Genomic DNA, 20,381 nt, shown 5'->3' with positions numbered 1-20,381 from the left:
CTCGGGAGGCTGAGGCAGGAGAATGGCGTGAATCCCGGAGGTGGAGCTTGCAGTGAGCCGAGATCGCGCCGCTGCACTCCAGCCTGGGTGACAGAGCGAGACTCCATCTCAAAAATAAATAAATAAATAAATTAAAAAGTGCCTTTCGCCTCCTGCCGTAATTCTGAGGCCTCCCCAGCCAAGTGGAACTGTATGTCCAATTAAACTTCTTTTTCTTCCCAGTCTGGGATATGTCTTTATCAACAGCGTGAAAACAGACTAATACAATGGGTAACCTTGATTTGGCATGCAAGTTCTAGCACTGGTTGTTCAGTGATTCTTCATGATTTTTCATTCTCCTACCATCATGCAATGGCTTTTGTAAGTTACTAGTGTTGCTACACTCATTAAGCACCTACTTGCCAGTCATTATGCTAGAAGTTATCATTGCAATTCATTTTTTAGTCCTCACAACAATTCTGTGATTTTTACATATTGGAAAGTTGAGACTCATAGAAGTTATATAATTTATGCAAGATAATAAAATCATCTAGTAAGTACTGAGCTGAAAATGCAAATTCAGGCTGGTCTTACTCTAGACTCTGTATTTTTTCCAGTATACCATGCTGACTTTATTTCTGCAATATCTGTTTGGTAGTTGAAGTAGGCTCTAAACTGGAAGGATTATTAAACAATAAATTTTGCAATACCTGTGGACTTTTAATTGAACTGAATCTTAAGATTCCAATTTCACTAACTTTAGTTATCTCCCTTGCAACAAAGCAAGAGGCTTTCAAAAATAAGTTCAAGGCTTACAAATTTTAAAATATTGCTTCCAAATTTAGTCGCATAGCATTGTTACAAAGCATGCAGGAAAAAAAGCCAGCCAAATTGAATATTTTCCATTTGCTACAATCCTCTAATAGGATATTTGTTTATGATGTATCCACTCATTCAACAAACAGTTTGCTTATAATCTCAGAAAGACCACCTTACAAAATTTCATAGTGATCTAACATTAACCATTTGCCTTAAAGTTTAGAGAGTTAATAGTTTAAAGCAGAGATAAAATATGATTCAATAGAGAAAAGATGTTTACAAGGTCTACTCTTTGGTCAACTTACCTCCATGACCATATCTTCTATACCATGTAAACTCTAAAAATGAAAGAAAAAACAATTTTGATCCTGAAGCAATTATTTGAATTGTGGTTTCAAACATTACTTAAATAGCTGAGATGCTAGACAATGGAATGAGAGTAGTGGCCCTTTACTATAAAGGTTGAAGTATCTTCACATCTGTGCAGATACTTATTTCTTATCTTTACATTGATAGTTGCAGCACCGAAGTTTGCAGTCAATAGAATTCGTATGAATTTTCAGTAATAATAAGATAATTTTTATTTTATTTTATTCACAAAAATAAGACTTCACAATGACTTTACCAAATTTTTTCTTTATTATATTTACATTATATATATGTAAATATATTATGCATGTAATTACATCTATGTATGTGGGTGTGTGTGCATAATTACCCTGGTTATAAAATATATATTTATCAATGTCATTAAAATCCTTAAGTACTAATGAAATGATCTTTTCTGAGTTTTGGAGTGAGCATAATAAAAATTATTCCCCAAAATAAAATAATATTTTTTTATGTTCTTAATAATGATGCCCGTCAGATTAATCATTAAAGTGATCAATGGGGATTTATATACAAAAGGATGAGGACCATTTATGTCTTGAACAAAACAGTCACTCAACAAGTATCTACTGGGTTAGGTCATTATCATGAAAGTATTAGAAAAATTGGTTGTTAGAATTCAATTTTTCTAATACTTTCATAATAATGACCTAGCTCAATAAGTACTAAATGACCTAGCTCAATAAGTACTAGTTGGGTAATTATATCAGTTTTTCAGATAAAGATATGATGTGCTTCTCATTGTAGGAAATAGGTCTGAATGCTTCACACTTGCCTTTGAAAGACAGAAATATAATATTTCTTTGTCCTAAAATGAATGTACTCTCAAAATTGTTTTATTAGTCTTATGTCCCTACACACACTGTAGATTACTTTAATCCATTTTTTAAATTATATTGATCAAATTGGCAAAAGAGTTGTGTAAGATTCAGTAGTGTGTTGCATCTGCTTATAGCTCTTAAGAAGTGATTATTAATTTTCAGAAATTTTGTGAATCAGTTGTTAAACATGGCCAGTATTAAAAATTGTATTAATTTACAAATGAATAAATTATACTAAGAACAAAGGGAATAAATGCTTAAAACCCATTGTTTTCTCTCTTTTATTTACTATATTTTATATTCTCTTTGCCATTGTGGTTACTTATATCAGGGTGGTGAAAATACTACAGACTGGTGAGCGGTTGCACATCTTTCCAGTTCCACATTAAATGATGTCAGGTTGAAACTGGCCATGGTAGGATAATTTACTCCCCAGTAATAGACAAATGCTACACTCCAGGGATCTCCCCAGAGATCTAGATTTTAAACATTCACCAGCACACTATTACCCAAGATTGACAATGTTTTGTGAAATCTTAATTGAAATTAAAAAGGAAATAGGGTCACCCTTGATACATATTTATCTACTTATCTGACCCAGATGTCGAGAAAATAAGAATTTTTACTTCATACAATACATTTAATAAACACGCATATCAATTATGTTGACATAATATATGTAGAATATACAAAGGATATTTCTTACCTGCTAAACAGGTAGTAATAGATATTATCACAAGATGACTGACCAGCAACCACATTTTCATCTTGTATTCAGTAGAAGTTCGGTTCAATTTTCCAAAAAAGAATTTAGCTCTATGGCAGTTGGATAATTTTAAACACCTGCATCAAGAAAGAAAAGAAGAAGAAGGAAAGAATTAGAAGGAAGGAGAGGGGAAGGAAGGGGAGAGGAGGAGAGGAGAAGAAAGAAAGGGAAGGAAATTGGAAATGTTCATCATTTGAGGAAAACATTATTAACCTATGTGACTTTATGCTTTTCGTTTGTAGAATAAGTTTTCATTTATTTAAATATATTTGTAAACACCGTGTAATGCAAAGACTGGAGTCAGTATCAGAAGGCTTCAGCTGACATCCTAGTATTGACACAATGCAATCATGAGTGTCACTCAATCATGTGTTTAGGTTTCTTTTCCTCTGTAACCATTGAGTATAATAAGTCTTTTCTACAAATAGCACAGTTGTAAACATTTTGATATCATTCACTTTAATTGAAGGTTACATTTAACGGAAGGCCTGGTTCAAAGATTCAATTGAAGTTACATTTGTATAAGAGCTTGTAAACTCACAGACATTACACAAGGGTGATGATGTTAGCATTTTCTGTTAGTGGCTTAAGGAAAATTTTTGCCAGACATGCTAATTTTAAATGTTACAATATATTAATTAATAAAATATTCATTCCTCCTCATCCCTTTTACTTCTTTCACTTATTCAAGAAAAAAGCAAATAAGTGTTCCTTGCATGTCAACAGGGGACAATCAAGGTTTTGTGGGGCCAAAATTGTCCATTTGGAGAGCCTTCTTTCAGGACAAGAAGAAAATAAAATTACTAATATAAACGAAAATACAAAACCATGTAGCAGTCTAATTAAAATATCTTGCTTTTAAAAATTTTGCAATCATGTACGACCATGTGATTACACTGCTAAAGTTTCACCCAGGACCCTGGAATAGCCTCATGCAGGTGAAGGGCCCTGCTACTTAAGTTTCATCATCTCCGTGGTAAAATCCACCACTGTGACTAAGCATGTAGCTATGAAGACTCAAAAAAGAAAGGCACAGTTTGCTTGCTCTTAAGAAGTTCACAGAAAAAGAGTACACAGATATGTGAACAAGCCAGTGCAATGACATAGTTGTGTGGACCTGTATGCTATTAAACGTGAAAAAGTGTTAATCATTTTCACTGAAACCATGGTAAACACAGCACGGTGGGAATGGGCCTTCCTGCGGTAGGCAGGGCCTTATACAGGAGTGTTGCATTCTTAGATTTGAGTCATTTGGTGACTTCCTGCCTCAACCACTGCTTACTGGATCACCTTAAGAATGATATGGCCTAGGGCATTAGAGCACTCATCAATAATGACACAATAGGGGTTTCATCTTGAAAAGACATTAAATCATTGTTTTAAAAGAATATATAATAGCATAACTGAAATCTCATGACATAGAATTGAATGAAAACATAAATTAAGATAGAGCATGGGCTGGGCACAGTGGCTCACACCTGTAATCCCAGCCCTTTGGGAGGCTGAAGCTCGTAGATCACCTGAGGTCAGGAGTTCGAGACCAGCCTGACCAACATGGTGAAACCCCCATCTCTACTAAAAATATAAAACTAGCCTGGCTTAGTGGCGCATGCCTGTATCCCAGCTACTCAGGAGGCTGAGGCAGGAGAATCACTTGAACCTGGGAGGTGGAGGTTGCAGTGAGCCGAGATCTTCACACCACTGCACTCCAGCCTGGGCAACAAGAGCGAAACTCCATCTCAAAAAAAACAAAACAAAAAAAAAGCATGAAAAACAATTTTAAAAGGAAAACACATGTTGTAGTGTTCAACGTATAAATATAGTCGAACATATTTAAAACAGCAACATTAAAATCCTACTGATTGCTTGCACCATACTATTATGTCAGAGAAAAATATAGGAGTCTATTTATTTTTTAATGGATTTTGAGAACACATATACTCCCTGATTTGCAAGAATCCTAGCATTTGGCAGAGGCTGGACAAAATTTTTACCTGGACCATGGTAATATATGGGCCAGGATAAACATATTTTTCCTTTTTAATATATATAAGCCTGAAATTTTAAATTTTTATTAATTTATTTTCCTAGGCAGAATTGGGCAGAGAGGAAAATAAACAGTTTAATAGAGGTGAAGAATGAAAAGCAATTTTTTTTTCTTTTGAGACGTAGTCTCTCTCTGTCGCCCAGTCTGGAGTGCAGTGGTGCAGTCTCGGCTCACTGCAAGCTCCACCTCCTGGGTTCACGCCATTCTCCTGCCTCAGCCTCCCGAGTAGCTGGGACTACAGGCACCCACCACCACGCCCGGCTAATTTTTTGTATTTTTAGTAGAGACGGGGTTTCACCGTGTTAGGATGGTCTCGATCTCCTGACCTCGTGATCCGCCCGCCTCGGCCTCCCAAAGTGCTGGGATTACAGGCGTGAGCCATTGCACCCGGCCAACAATTCTTTTAGAGGACAGGAAAATCAATTACATGATCTGTGGAAAGATTTTTAGCTTTTTATTTTGATTGTGCATGACATCGTTATCTACATATAGACTTAAGTGAAAATTTTTGAAATGTGTACACACTGGTTATGCCTATCTAAACTTTGTCACAAAAATGTGAATTTGATCACTTTTTTTGTCCTGATAGTTTCTAATTTTTCTCATTGAGTTACACATACAAAATAAGACAAGTTATATTTTAATGAAGAGAAAGTTAGAAAAAGCAAACACATAAAAATGCCAAAACTTTAATGCCAATCAAGCAATTGACTTTGTAAAAATTAACTTAGATGACATATTATTATTTTTATTTTTAATTTTATTATTATTACACAAATCCTAATTTGTGTAATCCTAACTGTACTCCAGCCTGAGTGACAGAGTGAAATCTTAATTTGTGTAATAATAAACTGTTATAATTTGAGAATTCTAAATGTTTCCCACAGATATTCACATTTAAGAGCAAGAGATGCTACTGCAGTGTTGCTATTGAGGGGCAAGAAAGCAGCACTGACCAGAGAGAAAAAGAAACAGATAAATAAAGGTGAAGAATTAAGAGCAATTTCTGTGAAAGTTTGCTTCTTATTTTTCATTTTGATAGAGTACATCAGTGATATTTTGGTCTATTTACCCATGAACTGTATAGATAATCTGGAAAGAAGTGGGATAGGCCTAAAAAAAGATTAGTTGTGTCCACATACAGCAAGATATCTCAGTAAATTGAAAATAAAATACAGACAACTTTTCTAGGGCTAGAATGTAATTTAACAGTTCCTTCTCAATAATGACCACAGTATATGGGAACATGTGCCAAAATGCATAAATGTGTACAGGGAAAGTTAGCCATATCTTGCCGAATTTTGGCTCAACCATTCTTTAGCTTGCAACTTTGGGCAAATTACTCAGCCTCTGAACCTAATTGTCTTCACCTTTTAATATGGAAAGAATATCTAATTCATAGCACAATTGCAAGGTTTGCATAAAGTTGTGCATGCAAAATGTTGACTGAAAGTATTCAGTAACCATTTATTATTCCATTAGGCTGTAAGCCAACCAGGGCAGGGGATACATATCTTGTTCATTGTTGTGGCGCTAATGCCTGACACACAGAAGTCACTTGATATGGAGTTATTGAATAAATGATGAAATGAATGGACCATGTACATAACTATAATCCTATCCAAAATGAACTTTAATTTCCTAAAATAAGAATAGGGTCTGGGTCCAGTGGCTCACACCTGTAATCCCAGCAATTTGGGAGGCCGAGGTGGGTGGATCACCTAAGGTCAGGAGTTCGAGACCAGCCTGGCCAACATAATGAAACCCTATCACTAGTAAAAATACAAAAAATTAGCTGAGCATGGTGGCATGCACCTGTAATCCCAGCTACTTGGGAGGCTGAAGCAGGAGAATTGCTTGAACCCAGGAGCTGGAGGTTGTAGTGAGTGGAGATCATGCCACTGTACTCCAGCCTGGGTGACAGAGTGAAACTCTGAGAAAGAAAGAAAGAAAAAAGAAAAAAAAAGAAAGAATGAAAGAGGGAGGGAAGAAGGAAGGAAGGAAAGAAGGAAGGAAGGAAAGGAAGGAAGGAAGGAAAAAGAAGAAGAAGGAGAAGGAAAAAGAGAAGAGGGCTGGGCGGGGTGGCTCACGCCTGTAATCCAGCACTTTGGGAGGCCAAGGTGGACGGATCACGAGGTCAGGAGATTGAGACCATCCTGGCTAACACAGTGAAACCCCATCTCTACTAAAAATACAAAAAATTAGCTGTGCGTGGTGGCAGGCGCCTGTAGTCCCAGCTACTCGGGAGGCTGAGGCAGGAGAATGGCGTGAACCCAGGAGGCGGAGCTTGCAGTGAGCCGAGATCGCGCCACTGCACTCCAGCCTAGGCGACAGAGCGAGACTCCATCTCAAAAAGAAGAGAAGAGACGAGAAAGAAAGAAGGAAAGAAAATGTCTATTACTGGGGCTTTGATCCTTGTTAGGGATTCCTGCAGTTTATAAATATACTCCAGAAAAGGATATTTTAAGTATCAATATTTAAAAGCATTTTGAAATATGTGGTTTATTGGGCATTACTGGAAGTCTGTTTTCCAGTTCTGAATATGTACACTCTAATCAGAATGAAAAGTTATTTTCATTATTTTGAGCCTCTCTGTGTTATTCCATGCTATCTTTTCCTTCACTTCAAAATGTTTTGTCTTTCATTAGGACAGTGAGACATCCCCCAGCAGCATGTAATTTATTTTATGATATAGATTTCTTGCCATTCGGGTATAAAAGTATCTTTCATATGTTGTTCACACATTTATTTTTCTGCTGGTGATCTGTTCTATTGTGTCACCAGTTATCCCATCATTTGTGACTCTCTGATCACATCCTTCAGCAGCACAGTAGAGAAGGCAGCAAGCTGAGCCCATCCTACTAATGTGGAAGAAACTGCCCCTACTACTTCTCTCTTGAGGCCACACCACTTAGTAATTCACAGCTAGCCCCCTGACCTCCATGGACCTGAAAGTGTTGCAAAAAATGAAGTGACAGAGGCAAAAAAAAAAAAAAAAGCAACTCTGACAAACATGTGCCAGTCACAGGAGCAGACTTGTTTCTTCTCAACAACTGAAATAACAGAAGGACCAGAAGCAGGAACTGGGGGTGCATTCCTGTTCCTGAGGCCATGCTGTGCTGGCCAGCTCCCTGAACGTGTCAGCCTTCAGAGCCCTGTGACCTCTTGTACACCCAGCCAGGCCTTATGCCAGGTACTGCTGCTGCTGCTGCTGCATCTCACAACCTCATGCAGCTCTGTGGGTCTCCATGACTGATGGATCCCTGACATGGACTGGCACTCTGTTAATTTCCAGGAGAATTCACCTTCTGTTCTCCAGCATCCTTTACTAAATCTCTTACACATATTTTAAAACAACAGCACTTCTCAATATAGTAAGGCAAGGCAGTATGACACATCTTCGTCTTTCTTTCTCCTTCTCTCTTCCTCTACTTGTCATTCTTCTTCCTGCTCCCTCTTTCCTTTAGACAACACTAGGGTTTTCTCATTTGAGAAATCTGTCCTATATCTAGATATGCATTTTTCTGCTGGACAGACCTCCATCTAGCTCTTGTCATGTTTTATTCTGGTGCTGGATAGTCCAAATAAATTATTATAAAATGCTTCAACAATATATTAGCAACTATTATTTACAAAGAATTTAGTACTGCTATGTAATGAAAGTGTGTTCCATCATGACAAATGAAACTAGCTTTTCATCGCACTGATGATTAGACAATCATTTACATTGACAGAGAACATCTCAAGAATATTGAAGAAATATTCATATATATCAGCAAATGGTCATATCACTTTTACAAAAAAAATTTTTTGGCACATCAGGTACAAAAAAATGTGCCTTTATCCATAAATTGTACCTCTATTTCAACCTCGTGAAAGTTCATTTTTTAAAAAAATATTTAACCTAAAATTTGATGTTGAACAACATTCACTACAAAGTTCTATTTCCAAGAGATTATCAGAAGCTTATTCAAGTTAAGCACATATTATTCCAGACAAAAAGACACCAATATCTCCTACTCTACAATTCAAAACTGAGGGACAATTTCCTCTCAGACTCGATCTGAAATTCTTCCTCTGCTGCTCAAGTCCCTTCATCTTCTGAGGTGTCAGTCTTTAAAATGAAGATCCAAGTTCCTACTAAGAGTGTTATTGTGAGGTTTAGGTAATGCATGTATATGGATATGTGTGTGTGGATGTAAAGCTTTGCAGCATATGTACATAAAAGTGAAATGCATGAAACGAATACATGAAATTTTCTGGAAATAAAACTAGTTTTGAATTTTAAAATTGCTACCCCTTTAAAAGGGGATACTATACAATGAAATACAAAGTCAATTAAGCACTTTCATATAAATATTATCTCTCTCCAGTTAATTTTTGGATTATTAAATACAATTTAAATATAGGTGATGAAACCCCCTTTAACTGACTAATGGTATGTTTTAGATCAGCCTCACACTGATTTCTTTACACTCTATAAACAAAAGTCTAACCATTTTCTATGAAGTCATTAACAATGTTTAAGCAGCTTATTGCAGTGGTCAAATACATTTCATAAAAATTTCTGAAGACCATACTGTTCTAAGCCAAGGAATACAGTACACACACAAGGAGAATACCCCCTTTTCTGCAAATGATTACAAACAGTATCCTTCCATTGTCAGAATAAAATATGTTGTTCAATGAGCAGATAGAGCTGCATTGGTCTTCAGATGGCAACAGCCTTAGCCCCTCAAACAGCCTGTCACTTGAATGTGTGTGCCGTATACATGAAAGAGGAGCAATACAACACATTCTAAAACATCTCATGAAATGTAACATCCCCAGAGTATCAAACATTCCAACCTTCACTTGGCACACTTACTACAATAATTCTTGAACTTTAGTATGCCTACAAATTACTTAGGAAGCTTGATTAAAATCAGATGCTTGAGCTATTTCCATAGAAATCCTTATTATCTTGCGATTTACTCAGGAATCTGTCTAATTAACAAGTGCACCCCAAATGGTGTTAAGTGGACCCTGGACCACATTTTGGAAAACACTGACTTAGCGTTATTAAAAATATGCTAATTTTTGAATATAAAAAATCCTTTTTATGATCTAGATCAAGAACGGATTTTAAATATCTTTTTAAAAAACTACTAAAACATAGAGAATTTAAATGTGTCTAGAATAAAAGGATTCAAACCCTGGCTGTATTACTAGCTATGCATTTTTGGGCAATCTACACGATCCCTATTAACTCAGTACAGCTCTAGAAATGTGAGAGATTTGGTCAGGATCAGATACGAAAATGTACAAGTTAGTGGCTTATAAGATTTTAAGCAGATATGCTTGTTACTTCCTACTGCATTTATGTATCTGAGGTTACTGTGTCACCTTCAGTACTCCCATTAATTGCCTGGCTCCCTTCAATCTCTTCTACACAGATTCTTCATGTAAATCATCGACAACAGAGCGGTTGTCAGTTTCACATCCCCTCATCCTTTGCAACTCCTACTGAAACCTATCTACCATGTTTTATCTTTCCTTTAATATTCATTTAATATTTTAAGCAGCAATTATTTGCCAAACCTAAAATATAGCTTTGCCCTTGAGTAATAAACTGATTCTTATTAATATACTGATAGGAAAGAGGTTGAGTGGAATCTCGTAAATACATTTGTGAGTTCTAAATCTTGCTTGCTAAAACAGTGCCTCTTTTGTTCATTGATTGAATCAGTAATTCTCAGCATTGCTGATAAGCAAGAAATAATATCACTTGATTTGTTCATTATTACTATCTCCATTTTCCATTAGCATGTCAAATTTTGTAATTCTAAGCAAAATAACTGTGTGGAGTTGGTACCTTATCAGTTCCACAGGCAAGATAGTTTGGAATCAGCAGGGCTTTTCTGCATTTTCTCAAACTTTACAAGGCACCTAACCATACACACACACACTCCCAAAATGTAGGACAAAAATCTATGTGGGCCTTCCTATTTTTGCTACCACCTAAAAATGATGGTTTCCTGAAATTCCAGGGAATACGTGTGGCTGTAGCAATTATAGTCCTGTGTGACACCATGGGCTTAAATTATCCCAGTAAAAATATATGCTATAAATATCACAAATAAAGTTTCACTATTTTTACATTCCTCTGCTTGCATTACATCATTTCAAAAATAAATGAGCAATTAATTTAATTATAAATCCAATTATACAAAAATGTAAGCAGTCAGTTGTTCTGTAAAATGCATGCCGTCCTGTCAGCACTTAATTAACATCCATATCTGTCAAAGCCTTAAGATTTTTTTCTCCTCAGCAGCCATTTCTAGAGATGGACTGACTTAAAGGGATTACATGGATTGCTCTAATACAAATAGCTAGTAACAGAGCACAGAGCAAGGGTTTCTATTCCGTACAGATTTAAATCCCTTATCGTTTATTACTTAATTTTTTTAAAAGATACTTAGTATCTGTCTTTGCTTTAGATTATTTAAAAAACCAGTATTTTGCATATTTAATAATTAACATATTTTTCATAACAATAAGTCAGTGTTTCCCAAACTGTGGTCCAAGGGCCACCTACATTAACAGCACTTGGCACGTGATTGTTAAGATCGATTTCTGAGCAACTCTTGAAGAATAGTCTTAATATTTTCATTTTAATCAAGTTTTCCGGGAAATTTGTAGGCATACTAAAGTTCAAGGATTGTCGTAGTAAGTATGTTAAGTGAAGGTTGGAATATTTTCGTTGCTCACAGAGAACAATGTATAGGTATCTATGTGCATGCAAATGTGTTCCAGGGCCACACGTTCAGCCAACACATCTCTAAAAATTAGAAGATGCATGATATTTAATAGTCTGTCTCTTAAAATTATGTCTATGGTATATTTTGTGTGGCATTTGGTCTACATGATGAATAAATATCCTCTATGTCTACATCTGATTCATTTTGCCATATCATAATAAACAAGGCATTCTGATGTATTGCTTTGACTAATAACTAGAAGGTTTCTGACTTTTATGTGAGACTGTCTTATTGGACGATAATGACCTGATTGAATGTGTTTTAACTACCATTGTTGCTCAACTGCAATTCAAACCGATCTGAGATTGGTAGACTACTACAAAAGAAATATGCTTTGTGATACCTGTGAATCATATCTAGATCCAAAGTAGAATTTTGAATTTAATACAGCAGAAAAAAATCCTATGTCAGCAGGATAGAATGTTCAAACTCCTTTCTCTTTTGCTCTCACATATAAGCATAAAAGGATAAGACCTGTAAAGAAATAGTGCCAGATCCAAGAGCTCACTCAATGTACCCTGAGAGTTTTAAAGACTTCCTGTGCTGTAATAATCCCTTTGTATGGCCTTACTCCACTGTGGAGATGCCCACATCTAATAAGAAGGCTTCATCACTGCTGCCACTGTGCTTTCTGAGGTTCCACTCTAAGTCGTTCTACCTAATGCTGCTGCATAGGATTATGATGCTCGAGGCTGCTGCATGCTGCACAGTATCTGAATATCTTTGTTAAAATATCAGGCATTTATTCCACTTCACAAATCTAAAGGTACACAAAACTTCTGAGTGTCTTCTGACACGAGACCACCCCTGAAGGGAGAATGAGACTGATGATCTCATAACTCCTATTAGCTGCTGTTCAGATTAAGAGACGTCAACATGGAAGGTACAGTCCTCCTGGGAGCATGATGTAATCATTGACATTCTGTTTTTTAGGTAAAAGAGTCATTGAATACAGGTCATTGTATCAGTACTTAAACTGATAAGTGATTCATACCAAAATTATTTAGGCCCTCATTTCTAGAAAGAACATAAGAGAATTTTATGTTAAATTCACTTCAATTCAATTAAAACTGTTCAAGTATTTATATTTGAAACATATATAAGTTAATCTCAATGATTGTGCAATTTAACCATGCAGACATCTGTTTTTATTCAAAACCCGTTCGAAGACCAAGAAATGCATTACATTTTCTTTGAAGAATATATAACAAAGTAATCCTATAAGGGAAGATGAATGGTAATTTAAAATTATTTATTAATTTATTGCATACATATTTCTTAAGTATCTACCATGTCCAGACATATTGTAGCAGTAGCATAAGTACTGGTAAATCAAAGAGATTTATTCAGGGAGGGAATTTCTAAATTACAAGCTCCTCAACAGCAGATTATCTCATTCCTTTTTCTATACCCCCCACATCATATAACATGATGCCTAACACATCAAAGATACTCCATTAAAATCTGTTGAATATGTTTATTGAGAAATTACTAAAAACAAATTATTGTTCCATACTTGGCAAGCAGATCCAGGAGGAAGTAGCAATAGAGAAAGGAGAATAATAAAGGTCAAATTCAGAGACCCTTGAAGAATAAGCATGGCTAGGGCATATACTCGTGAAAATATTTGAGAAAGAGAAGTGTGTTAAAATCATGGCACCTTAAATGCCATGTGTTGAACTTTTGTTTCTTTCACAGAGAGTTGTTGAATAGTTCTACAAGAAAATATCATCATAATATTTAATCCTAAGTGCTTTGGTTTATGAAGGCTCTGCTCTTCTGGCTCCTTTTAAAGGTTTCATTACCAGAACAGATACTGGGGAAATTACGGGGCTACCTTAACCTGGTGCCCCCAAACCATTGAGGTTTCAGACTTATATCCACAACACGGTCTTGGGCTATACAGAGAGCTTTGTTCCTTTTTATTCGAATTTATATCAAATATTAATTAATTTGTCAGTAGGGCAAGGGTCAATACATGCCTCCGGTCATATGAAATTACAGAAAGAGATGTATATTATACAAAAACTGGTATCTAAAGGAAAGTGATTCTATAGTTTCTGGTATCTTTAATTATTCTCCCTGAATGTAAGCAACTATTTCCTTGTATCAAATCCAAGTCTTATCAATCAATCAATACTTCCTGAGTACCTGCTATGTGAAATGCTTCATACAAGCCCCAGTTAGTAATAACAGTAGAAGCAAATTCTCAAACTTCAAAAGCTTAGCACCTAGTTAGGCAGAAGCTTTAGAGAAAACTTGATGGATCTACCTTTTGATCCCTTCCACCAAGAGGAAACAGTCTAAGCATTTATTATTGTAAAGAACATATATCCAAATCTCTGAAGCTTAGTGAACAATACAAATGTCAATTTGACCTCCAAAAACTATAATTCTCTTACTATACTCTCTGACTCAAAATTTACCAATGATACACTATCATTTCATCATTCATTCAACAATTATCTATTAAATACTTTTATGTGTTAGGCATTATGCTAGGCAATAGAAATTAAAAGATAAAAACATTTAGCTTAGTAGTTAAGATATATGTACTCCATCTTCCAACTTCTAAGTCAGGCTCTGTTTTAAAAGCCTAAGTATTAACTCAATTTTCATCTAAACAAATGATGTAGCTACTATTATTAGCTTCAGTTTGTAAATGAGAAAATAAGAATTTCAACTCTATTTCAGGATCCAGATTAAATTTTATCTTTATAGGAAAGTGTCTCCTCAGACAACCTCCTCCTCTGAGGTCTTCTCCCTTGTCAAAAATCTTCAAGTGGTCCTTTGTCTCACCTGCTGGTATCTTATTATTATATTCTTGCTTACTTTTTAAATGCAAGGCCACTTCCAGTTGAATATTGGGAAACTGAATTAGAAAAAATATATTTGAGGACAACTTAAAAGGTTGAGGAAAGAAAGTATTTTGGAGAAGTATTTTCTTTGTCGAAATTTGGTGTTTCTGATATGTCTTAATGGACAATAAATAGAACACAATAACCAACTATAAAACTGTCCTAGGAAATCTGAGCCTATGTTCATAGCATTTTAGATGTTTATATTATCAAAAGGCAGTGAGGCTAGGAGACAAGGGTACAGACTGTGAGTCTAGTCAGAAGTGATGCACATGGCTCAGTGGATTTAGGCAAGTCATTTCAGTGTTTGTACAATGGGAATAGTAATATAATACATACTTCTGAGAATTATATAAAAAATGTATGTAAGATACCTGTGATCATTTCTCTTTACCCCTAACTATACTATAAGTTTCTGAGAGAGAGGGAAAAAAAAACATACCTTATACATATCTTTATATTCCTATTGGGGCTTAAATACTTTGCACAGTGTGTGATTAATAAATACATGTGCATAAGTGTAAGCATGTGTCAGCATGTGTGTGTCAGCATGTAAGTGTGTGTGTGTTCAGAAGATTTAGGTGTCTTAGAATAGAGCTGATAATTAAAAGAAAAGCACCTATGAACATCGATGCAACTACCTTCATTAAGAAATCTTGAAGCGGCCGGGCACGGTGGCTCACGCCTGTAATCCCAGCACTTTGGGAGGTCGAGGCGGGCGGATCACGAAGTCAGGAGATCGAGACCATCTTGGCTAACACGGTGAAACCCCGTCTCTACTAAAAAAATACAAAAAAAAAAAAATTAGCTGGGCATGGTGGCAGCCGCCTGTAGTCCCAGCTACTCGGGAGGCTGAGGCAGGAGAATGGCGTGAACCCGGGAGGCGGAGCTTGCAGTGAGCCAAGATCGCGCCACTGCACTCCAGCCTGGGCGACAGAGCCAGACTCCGTCTCAAAAAAAAAAAAAAAAAAAATCTTGAAGCACAAGAATTACTATTAAATGGTTAACATTGGTGCTATGGTTTTCTTGTGTCCCCCAGATTTCATGTGTTGGAAACATTCCCTAACATGACAGTATTTAAAGAGGAGACCTTAAAGAGGTGATTGAATTTTAATCCATTCATGGATTAATGGATTCATGGGTTATCATGGGAGTAGGCCTGGTGGCTCTACAAGAAGAGGAAGAGAGACCTGAGCAAACACCCGAGCACACGCAGTCCCTTCACCACATGACGCCCTGTGTTGCTGCTGCCACAGGACTCTACGGAGTCCCCACCAGCAAGGAGGCTCTCACCAGATATGGCCCCTCAACCTTGGACTTCTCAGCCTCCATAACTGTAGGAAATAAATTTCTTGTCTTTATAACTTACCTAGTTGCAGGTGTTTTGAAGCAATAGAAAATGGACTGATAAAATTGGACTGAGGATACTTCCATGCATTTCTTTTTCTTTACTTTGTGAAATTGTGGTTATCTATTTAGGAGTTAGCATCTGTTCTACAATTTTCCCAGGATGACTATGAATACCAAATAAGATAATATATGAAAGCACCTTTGCAAATTAAAAGTAGTATAAAAATGGACTATACTATTATAAATAGAGGCTTCCATATAACTGATCATCAATTTGACACTTTATAAAACTTAAGCTTACTATAACACAGAAACTTGAGTCGCAGTCTTTGAAATCTATTTCTGGAATTACCTTGAGGCCAGACTTTCAAAACCCTTTTATATGGAAATTTATTAAAGAAAAGAATCATTCTATAATGTTCTTTCCCCTCTTCTTTATTCCACTGAGAAGTTAGAACACTTCTCAAATATGCCAGTTCAAAAACCCCTAATGGCTAGCTGCCAAGACTGAATTTATATGGACCAAATTCTCTAGAAATGACACTCAAATTCCCCACTCAGTTGTAATAAACTCATTCAGAAATATTTTTATTTCATAGAATTGATTTCTTCATAAGTCTTCATGAAGCCAGCATTATATATTATCTATTTTCACTTGTGGGAAGGGAAATGAAATATACTCAGCTAATAGATAAAATATTAAATAAAAAGTTAGGTATTAAAAGACAAGGCATTGGGGACTGGAGAAAAAATGGGTCTCTAGATGTCTTGAGAATACAATGGCATAAAATGAGAGAAATATTTTTTCTGTGACATATTTTATATGTTATTTTCAGAACAGTTTTAGACTTAAAGAAAATTGAACAGAAAGTACAGAGAGTTTCCATATATCCCTTCTCTCCTGTATAGTTTCTCCATTAACATTTTGCGTTACTGTAGTCGATTTGTTACAATTGATGAGCTAATATTAATACATTATTATTAACTAAAGTTCACAGTTTAAATCAACATTCACTCTTCATGTATATCTGCTGTGGGTTTTAACAATTGGGAGGAAGGATACAATAGAGCTTATCTTTCAAGATCTAGTGACTTCTTCAATGCAGTGAAGTGCCAGTATCACTTGCAATGTAGGTATGTAAAAGTAATCATTTGCTTAGCAAATGAAGAAGCTGTTATATAGGTAATTTTATTTGTTTTAAAATCTTTAAAGGTCCTAGGGATTTAACAGATCCAAGAAATATGGTTCTTGGCTTCAAGGAGGGTATGAACCAGTGAAAGATAAACATTGACTGCTTAGTACCTGTAGAGATATTGGAACAGACAATGAGGAAAAGGGAGGAATTCAGGGATGAGTGTTTGCCTTTTGGGGTGGCTATTAGAGTGTAAGGATGTTGCTATTCAACAAAGGGGAACTTGAGTTTTGATGGGAAAGTGAGTTGACCAATAATTTAGTTTTGAACGTATTATATTTGAGTTTCCCATTAGACATTCAAGTGGAGATACTAGGTAAACATTTGAATAAATAAGACCAGAATTTAGAAGTCAGACAGGAGTGGGGGATAGCTACTTGGAAGTCATCTACATATTAATGATATTTGAAGCCCAGCAAGAGAACCTCCTAATCAATTTGTTTTATGCAATGAACAAAATGGAAGGAAGAAAAAAGAAGCAACAGAAATATAAATCTGAAATTATTTTGTTTTTCCTTTGTCATGGCTCTCTAACTAAAAGAAACAAAATAAGGGGAGGAAGCAGTAAGAGCTGTATCTATTGGGAGCTGTTTGTTCTCTTGGTAGATTGTTTACTTTCTTTACAAGTTTAGAAGAGATACCTTTGACTTGTGATCTAAAGTTCCTGCCAAGGTAAAACATTTAAAAAAAATTGCTTCCTGAGTGTTTTCAGGATTGAAGGAATATCACTACAATAGCTGCAGTTTCTTAGAATAAAGATATTAGAAATTTGGAGGTTGAAGAATGCAGAAATTTGTCCTCTTTTATTTTTGTTAACTAATTTTGAACATATAAAGTTTGTTATAGCAATTTAAAGACATTTAGTTTTTTTCAATAAAGCATCAATTTTGAGTTTGATATGTCCAAATTTCTATTCTTAAATTTTAAACTATCATTGACATTTTAAGTGATTTTGATTTAGCTTGAAAATTAAACTCCTAACATGACTATGCAGAGTGATATAATTATCTACCTAGTTAGGGTAAAGAGGAAGGTTTTGCATTTAACTGGAAAACTTTAGGTGAAAGGTGATATACTTACTTACATTTTATGTGACCATACATTCTTTATTTAAGTTTGAACTGTATCAGAAATCATTACATCAGAATGTTTCTATTTAATATTTTTGGTATTTTAATAAATATTTTTATGTTTTCAACTCAATCATGTATTTGTTTATTCACCCCCCCCAGTTTTCATTTTTCTTGAGTTCCATTTGTTTTGATTAATGTGTCTTGAATTTCGGGGAAGAATTTGTAATGATTGATATTGTGCTGAACTGAATCTCTCTGACTGAGCACTCCAGCAGAAACAAAAAGCACCATGTTTTGACCTTTACATTTCTCTTAACATACATTGTATAATGAGATGTTAGCAAATCACCCTCCAACCCTGTCAGCAAAAAAATTACAAAGTTTCAGGTTTCAAATCTCTTGCCCTTGCAGAAGTGGACTTCCCTTCCGGAAGCTGTGAGTATATAGTTTTTGGACAAGTTATGTCCTGAAACATGATTAGCATTCCTGTCGAAGCACAATATCTTAACTAAGTCAGGTACTATTTCCGATATGCCAGTGATAATGATTGTTTGGCTATGATTTTTCATCTCTTCTTGTTGTGTCTCCTTCTTTGGGAATGATTCCATTTTGTTTTCTGTAATTAATATTTTTATTTTAATAGGAGTCAGTAACCTAATACAGCCTCTCATGGAAAAATTCTAATGTGGCTGGGATTTAGTGTTTTTCTTAGAATGAGAAACTTCCTGGATTCATCTGGAATACACATATTATTTTACGAAACAAACAAACAAACAAAATCCATTGAGAGCAACACTTTAAGGAGTATGCAGAGTAACAGATTTTAGACCCTGAGAGAAGCTCATTTCCACTGTAGCTATGTCTTTCTTATCACTTTTTGCTATTCGCATCCAGTCTATACATCATTCACCTTCAGACAGGCTCACAATACAAATTCTTAGTGGTAGATCTTTGCTCAGCCTTCACAGCCAACTAGTTATTTGACCAAAACTAAGGATAGCAAAGAGGGTAAACGTTTTAGACAGGGCTCTAGTATGGAAAAGTTCAAATTATTCTTTCCTTGAACAAATATTTAGGTAAAACACAAAGATAAAAACATAGTGAGGGAAATTCAAAATTGTCAAGATATCAGTTCTGCCCAGCTTGATCTACAGATTCAATACAATTCCAATCAAAGCTGCAGCAAGTTATTTTGTTTACATTGACAGTGATTCTAAGGTTTACATAGAGAAGCAGAATAGTCAACAAAATATTGAAGAAAAAGAGCAAAGCTGGAGGACGGACACTGTCCAACCTCAAGACTTAAAGCCATAAAGACTATAAAGCTATGGTCACCAAGATACTGTGGTACTGGTGAAAAATACAGATACATAGATCAATGGAACAGAATAGAGAGTTCAAATATAGAATCATATAAAGATAATCAACTGACTTTTGACAAAGAAACAAAGGCAATTTAATTAAGAAACAGTCATTTCAACAAATTGTGTTAAAATAACTGGACATCCATGCGCAACAACAAAAAAAATTTAGCTACGTACCTTACACTCTTCACAAAAACTAACTCAAAATGAGTCAGGGACCTAAATTTAAAATGCAAAACTATAAAACTCCTACAAGGTAACCTAGGAGAAAGTAGGTATGGAAATAACTTCTTTGGTATAGCAATAGGGGCAGAATCCAAACTTCTTTGATATAGCAATAAAGGCAGAATCCATGAAAACCAGAATTGCAAAGCAGGACTTCATTAAAATTTAAAATTCCTGCTCTGCAAAAGACACGGTCAAGAGAAGGAGAAGACAAGCCATAGGCAGGGACAAATATTTGTGAAAACATCTGATAAAGGAGTGTTATCCAAAATATGCAAAAATTCTTAAAACTTAAAAATAGGAATACAAACAACTCAACTAGAAAACGGTCAAAATTCCTGAAGAGACATCTCACCAAAGAAGATAAACAAATGGCAAATCAATATATGAAGAGATGCTCAACATCATATATCATCAGGAAATTGCACATTAAAATGATAAAAAGATATCACTACATACCAATTCAAATGGCAAAAATCTAACACCAAATGTTGTTGGTTCCTGCTGTTCCATATCCTCACTAGCATTTGATGTGGAAGAACAGGAACTCTCGTTTACTACTGGTAGAAATGCAAAATGGTTCAGCCACTTGGGAAGACAGTTTGGCAGTTTCTAACAGAGTTAAACATATTCTTACCATATGATCCAGCAATCACACTCCTTAGTATTTACACAAAGAAGTTGAAAATGTATGTC

At 35.5% G+C, this 20,381-nt stretch overlaps 1 protein-coding gene across 11 annotated transcripts in view; it reads right to left on the bottom strand.

Annotated features, from left to right (window-relative positions):
- Positions 1–20,381, bottom strand: part of CNTN1 (contactin 1) — a 379,977-nt gene that overhangs the window by 161,207 nt on the left and 198,389 nt on the right. For 6 of the 11 annotated variants that reach the window (XM_011537926.4, NM_001843.4, XM_024448843.2 and 3 more), the window contains 2 exons: positions 2,716–2,852; positions 1,104–1,136 (listed from right to left, as the gene is read on the bottom strand). In XM_011537926.4, coding sequence (XP_011536228.1) covers positions 1,104–1,136; positions 2,716–2,776 — 94 coding nt within the window. In that variant the 5' untranslated portion in view covers positions 2,777–2,852. Of the gene's footprint in view, positions 1–1,103; positions 1,137–2,715; positions 2,853–15,099; positions 18,393–20,381 lie in introns of those variants that run through there. The other 5 variants (XM_011537927.3, XM_017018827.3, XM_006719241.3 and 2 more) reach the window with 3 other exon arrangements.

This window comes from Homo sapiens, chromosome 12, assembly GCF_000001405.40.
Source record: "Homo sapiens chromosome 12, GRCh38.p14 Primary Assembly".
Taxonomy (NCBI): Eukaryota; Metazoa; Chordata; class Mammalia; order Primates; family Hominidae; genus Homo; species Homo sapiens.
Note: the sequence above shows the minus strand (reverse complement) of the source record. Positions and strands in the feature narration are given on the sequence as shown.